The 5,772-nt window shown below is 40.1% G+C and overlaps 1 non-coding gene across 1 annotated transcript, besides 1 other annotated feature; it reads left to right on the top strand.

Annotated features, from left to right (window-relative positions):
- The first annotated feature begins 353 nt into the window (after positions 1-353).
- Positions 354-488, top strand: SNORA48B (small nucleolar RNA, H/ACA box 48B). The gene has a single exon (NR_145722.1). It is a non-coding gene; the product is annotated as a small nucleolar RNA, H/ACA box 48B (small nucleolar RNA).
- Positions 3,976-5,175: an enhancer, noted in NCBI's record as "BRD4-independent group 4 enhancer chrX:3445471-3446670 (GRCh37/hg19 assembly coordinates)". NCBI's record gives its function as "activates an origin of replication core promoter dependent on BRD2, P300/CBP, MED14 and CDK7 cofactors, and independent of BRD4, by STARR-seq in HCT116 cells {active_cell/tissue: HCT116}" and the evidence as "EXISTENCE:reporter gene assay evidence [ECO:0000049][PMID:35650434]".

Here is a 5,772-nt window from a genome sequence, read left to right as displayed (position 1 = left end):
CTTCTGGGGAGGCCTCAGGAACTGACAATCATGGTGGAAGGTGAAGGGGGAGCAGGCATCTTAGTGACTGGAGTAGGAAGAAGAGAGAGAAAGGCGTGGGGAGGTGCTACACACTTCTGAACAAGCAAAAGATTTCGTGATCACTCACTCACTATGATGAGAACAGCACTGAGCAGAAGGTGTTAAACCATTCTTGAAGGACCCACCCCTATGATCCAATCACCTCTCTCCAGACCCCACCTCCAAAACTGGGGAATACAATTTGACATGAGATTTGGTGGGAACACAGATCCAAACCCTATCGCTGACTGTCTTTGAGTGCCTTTCTGATTTGTCCTAAGAAGCTCATTTTATTTCCCTGACCTGGGTAGAGTGGCATCCAGTTGGTGGTGCCCATCTCATATCAGCCAGGGACAAAGCAACCCCTTGTTCCTCCCAGCTTGGCTTTTCATCTGTGCCTATGCCTGGTTCATGCCTTGGACACATTTTTTTTTTAAAAAATGTAAAGCTAATTTTAAGGGATAACAGCATGGCAGAAAAAGGGGTAAATAAATGGAGAATTGGACCACCTATGTAGAATAACCAAGGTAGACCTGGGTAAAAAATTAGAGTTTGCATAAGACAATCAATCATGAAGCCACACACACACACACATGTCCCCCACAAGTGAGGATGACACATGAAAAAGTGACTTTTCCAAATCCTTGGGGAAAAATATGATTCAGAATCCCTCTTCAGAAGTCACTGGTTTTTATTGTGGAGTTGTGAAAGGTCAGTCTGTGCTCTGGAAAATCCTGATGTGAGTGGGACTTGTGTTCAGTTTCCCGTTAACCCTTTTTGGGAGTCTGCCTTCTCCTTTAGCAGATTAAGTCTTGTTAATTCCAGGCTCTCTGCTGCAGTAGGGGGTTTGTCTTTCTTGGAAGTAAATCAGCTGGGTTTTCGAACCTGACAATCCATTTGCTGACAGTGCACTATTTATTAATTCTTACTCAAGTGTCAATGGCTACTTAATTATGGCAACAGGCAAACAGCACTGGCATTTTACCAGACCTAATGTCATAATAGTAGAACACCTACTGAGTGGGAATTTTCATTACACCCAGAAGAGCAAGGGGATGCTATTTTATCTACGAGTTGGCTGTGAGGAGAAACTGTCTGATTTGCTCTTTTGCAAACAGCATTTGTATCTACTCTCTCCCTTTTTTTCCCACTCCAAATTATTCTCTCCTGGTTTCCCACTCTCTGTCAAATTATCTGATATTAACACCCTTTCCTCCCCTCCCCTGTCCTCCCCTCCCCTCCTCTCCTCTCCTCTTTTCCTTTCCTTTCGACAGGATTTTCCTCTGTAACCGAGGCTGGAGTGCAGTGACACATTCATAGCTCACTGCAGCCTCCAACTCCTGGATATATATATTACATATATGACAGTCATTCCTTAAAGATATAATGAATCTGCCCTATACTAATGTACCATTTTTTATTTTATATACCATATTTTTACTGTATATTTTAATGTTTGGATGAGTTTAGATACAGAAATATTTACCATTGTGTTACAATTGTCTACAGTATTCAGTACAGTAACCTGCTATACAGGTTTGTGGCCCAGGAGCCACAGGCTAGACCATATAGCCTAGGTGTGTAGTAGGCTAGACCATCTAGGCTTGTGAAAGTGCATTCTGTGATGTTCACACGATGAGGAAATCACCTAAGGACATAGTTATCAGAATGTATCTCTGTTGTGAAGTGACACATGACTATAGCCTTTGCCACTACTATGGTCTGAATGTTCATGTATTCTCCAAATTTATCCTAACTCCCAAGGTTATAGTATTAGAAATTGGGGCTTTGGGGAGGTGATAAGGTCATAGGGGTGGAGCCCCATAAATGAAATCAGTGCCCTTATAAAAGGGACCCCAGAGAGCTCCCTCACCCCTTCCACTATGTGAGGACATAGCAAGAAGGTGCCATCTACGTACCAGGAAGGAAGTCCACACCAGACACTAAATCTGCCATGTCTTGATCTTGGACTTCCAGAGTCCAGAACTGTGAGCGACAAATATCTGCTGTTTATAAGCCACTCAGTATACTGTATTTTGTTATGGAAGCCCAAGCTGACCAAGACAGTTACAGACTGAGATCTGAGAAATCCCATGGTTTTGTGCGTGAAAAAAAAATTAGAGATAGGACCGGTGGAGGTTTTTTCTTGGAATTTAGTCTAATTTGAGTTCCATTCCAGAGGCCATTTCTTACTGTGATTGGAAACGTCTGGTAGCCTGTGTTCTCTTTCTTTGTATTCCTGCTCTGATCTTATCTTCTAGTCTCCAATCAGGAAGTTTAATCTTGACAGGCACTGACAGAAATAAAGAATGTGACCATTTCCTCCAGGGTAACCGTGTGTTTTAAGTTCTCTGAAAAAAACTAGCATGCACAATTTTGTACATTCTTATTTTTTAAATAAAACCATCTACTTTCAAAGAATAACATGCTATGGATGGAGAAGTCTCTTCACTGCATGGTCTGACTTTTGTTTACTGTAATTTGGTGATTCGATGATAATCAGAGAGGAATCAGAGCATTGATATACCTGCTGGGGACATTAAAATGGGATTGAGACAGAGTTAATTCCCAACTGGGGAACAATGATGCAATGTGTGAGAACCATGCCTGTCTACAACAGCTCTTGGGCTTAGGAAAATCTGCACATAATTTCTTGTAGAAACGGCTGCCTAAGGGCGGTAGGCTGTTGAGGTCTGCAGTTTGTCTGGTCTTCTTCTGACAGTTTATAACAGATTTTTTCTTAGCATATACTGCTTGCACACCCGCATTTGGGTAGGCAGATGTCTGCAGGTGGAAGGTGACATTTTGCTTAAAGGATACTGTGCAAACAGTGCCTCATCTTGCATACAGCCAGGAAATATATATCTGTAACTGTGACCACATGTGTATGTTATTTAGTGATGTCATGAAAGAGTTGCTTATGCTGTAGTCAGAAAAAAACGGGTGAGGTTAACGGGCTTGGGGAATTTTAATCTTGGACAGCCTAACACTTTGGTGAACATAAAGGCAGTCTGGATAACCCATTGAGACTATATATTTTTTGTTGCAGAAAAGCATCTATATGCTTGAAATACACATCTTTGTTACACATATGGAGAATGTGAAGGCTTTCTTTCTTCCCAAGCATGTACAGCTAAGGCTACGTTTTCTAAATCCCAGATAAATTGAGTGCAAAAAACTCCAGTAGTAAGAAATGCCACTAAAGGAACAAGACACGTCCTCTACAGCATATGCTATGTTCTTCTTCTGCTTAGTCTTGCTAAAGCAAATAATTTTAATTCACAGGTGGATAGTCTCGAAGGTATCTTCTTTGTTTATAGACTGAGGTTTACAGAAACTAAACAAATGTAAACATTGTTGTTATCTACAAATAAAATCAAAGATGATAAATTCAGATTAACTGTAATTATCTGGATGTTTTATGCCAAAATGTCTTTCTTTTGAAACAACCCAACATCAGAAAGCAAAGCATGAACTATAATTAGATTATCTCAGTATAGACCTAGTTTCCCATTTTACTGGCACTGTACTAAGTTGTCTAATAGGTGAATTACTCATGATATGCTGGGTTTGATTTTTTATCTTTTCAGGATAGAATTATAATGTTTTTTTAAATTTTTATTTTTATTCTATTTTATTTTTTGAGATGAGGTCTTGCTATGTCGCCCAGGCTGGTCTTGAACTCCTGGGCTCAAGCAATCCTCCCACCTTGGCATCCCAAAGTGCTGGGATTACTGGTGTGAGCCACCATGCCCGGCCTACAATGATTTTTTTAAAGTCCATCAAACTGTATTTGCATTCTTTTGTTCCCCTCAAAATATTAGATGGAATATTGCATAATATATCTAACTTTTTAAAAGAAGTCATTTAAAACTCAATAGTGTAAATCTGACAGTGTTTGAGCTGGCTCAAAGTTTTGCATTAAATAGAAAACAGCCCGACACACACTCCAAACATCTTACATTAGGGTTTCAAGGGATAGAAGCAAGAGTTGACCCAACTGTGTTTGAAAATTTCCAGAATCTCTTATCGCAAAGGTATGCCGCTTTGATGTTTTGACAATTCTGATGGCGAGATGCTTTCTAGTAGGTTGATTTATGATTGGGCTGTTCTCTCAGCTCCATCTCCTCAACTCGGGGAGTTTTCCAGGCTTCTCTTAGTTTCTGCCTTCCAGTCATAGCCTGGAAATGCTCTCAAGGCAGTGAGCTGGGGCCACCATAGGTCTCACTTTGTTTTTCTGCTTCTAGAGAATCACCGTCCTTTTTTTTTTTTCTCTTTTGAAAATTTATTTATTTTCCCTTTATTTTAAAAATTAATCTTCTTTTGAGAATCACTATCCTTAACTGCCTGGTATCCAGTCTTGAAAATAGTTCTCCCTTAAATGGTTGACTCTTTACTTTTTGGTCATTTGAGGCTGGAGGGAAAACTCTGTTTTTGTTACTCCATCTTGACCGGAAGCATAAGTATGGTGGCCGGCTTACACTGGTTTGCCTGTGGTTTTCTTGGTTTTAGCTTGAATGTCCACATCCCAGGGTGTGTTCAGCACTGAACCCCTAAGTTCTGAGTCAACTAGATGGTTGGCCACCCTCGGTGGATGTCCAGATAACATTCTTGCACTCTACTTCCTTGATCTCTCTGGTTTTCTAGTAATGGTAGACAGTCCAAGTTATTCTGTTTCTTTGTTAAACTTATATAAAATGCATGCTATTCCTAATGTCTGAGAGCTAAAAGTGCTGTCTTTATTCAATGGACATCCTTATTAAGTTTATAATTTTTTACGGTTTGTGAACTGAAAAAAATGACACCTAAGAAGTGACCAATTAAGTAACATGAAACTGTGTGTGTGTGTCTGTACATATTATTATATATATAAACGACATCAGACAAATCTGGCTCAACTTTCATGTAGCAAAATTGTGATTTGTTCTTCAGTTGCCATGAACCCCCACATTGAGGATCATGTAACCTGAATGTGCCCAGATGAACCAAGCATGCAACTTGAGAGAAAGCTAACTGAGGAGCAGGGACTGAACTAAGAAGCAGACACCACGTGTCAAGATTCAGGATCCAATCAGATTGAACCCTGTTGTCACCCTATGGCAAGATCCAATCAGATCATGCCTCATGGCATCACTTCATTGCAAGGTCCAATTAGATCTTGTCTAATTACCTTGTGCTTATAAAACCTGACCCAAAGCCCAGCTCACAGAGACAGATTTGAGCATTACCTCCTGTCTCTTTGCCAGCTGACTCACGATAAAGCTTTTCTTTTGTCAAAAGCCAGTGTCATGGTATTAGTCTCTATGTGCATTGAGCAGCGAGCTCATTGATTGTTTGGTCATCTATAGCTCTATCTATAGCTATAGATACTCATCTACAGAAACATCAGGCCTATGTAATGATAGTAATGATGCCAAACATGTGCTATAAGACCATAAGGTCTTTACGGGTTCTCTGATCACCATAATCCAATATAAAATGTTCTTTTTTGAAGTTGAGCAGAAAGAGAGATGAGCAGAAATCACTTAGTGGGTTGAGGAGAGTAATGCAAAAGATATTTGGAGAGTAGGAGGAGGAAGTGGGCTGGATAAACACAGTAGGGACTACATGTTGGCCGCTTCCATAGAGACTGTTTCTGAGGTGAATGCACTCATGCCAGGAAACAAAAATAAAGAGATATTTTAGTTTATGAGTGTATCTACTTTCCTAATG

Source organism: Homo sapiens, chromosome X (assembly GCF_000001405.40).
Source record: "Homo sapiens chromosome X, GRCh38.p14 Primary Assembly".
In the NCBI taxonomy this organism is placed as follows: Eukaryota; Metazoa; Chordata; class Mammalia; order Primates; family Hominidae; genus Homo; species Homo sapiens.
The sequence above is the reverse complement of the archived record's forward strand: the minus strand, read 5'-3'. Positions and strand labels throughout refer to the sequence as shown.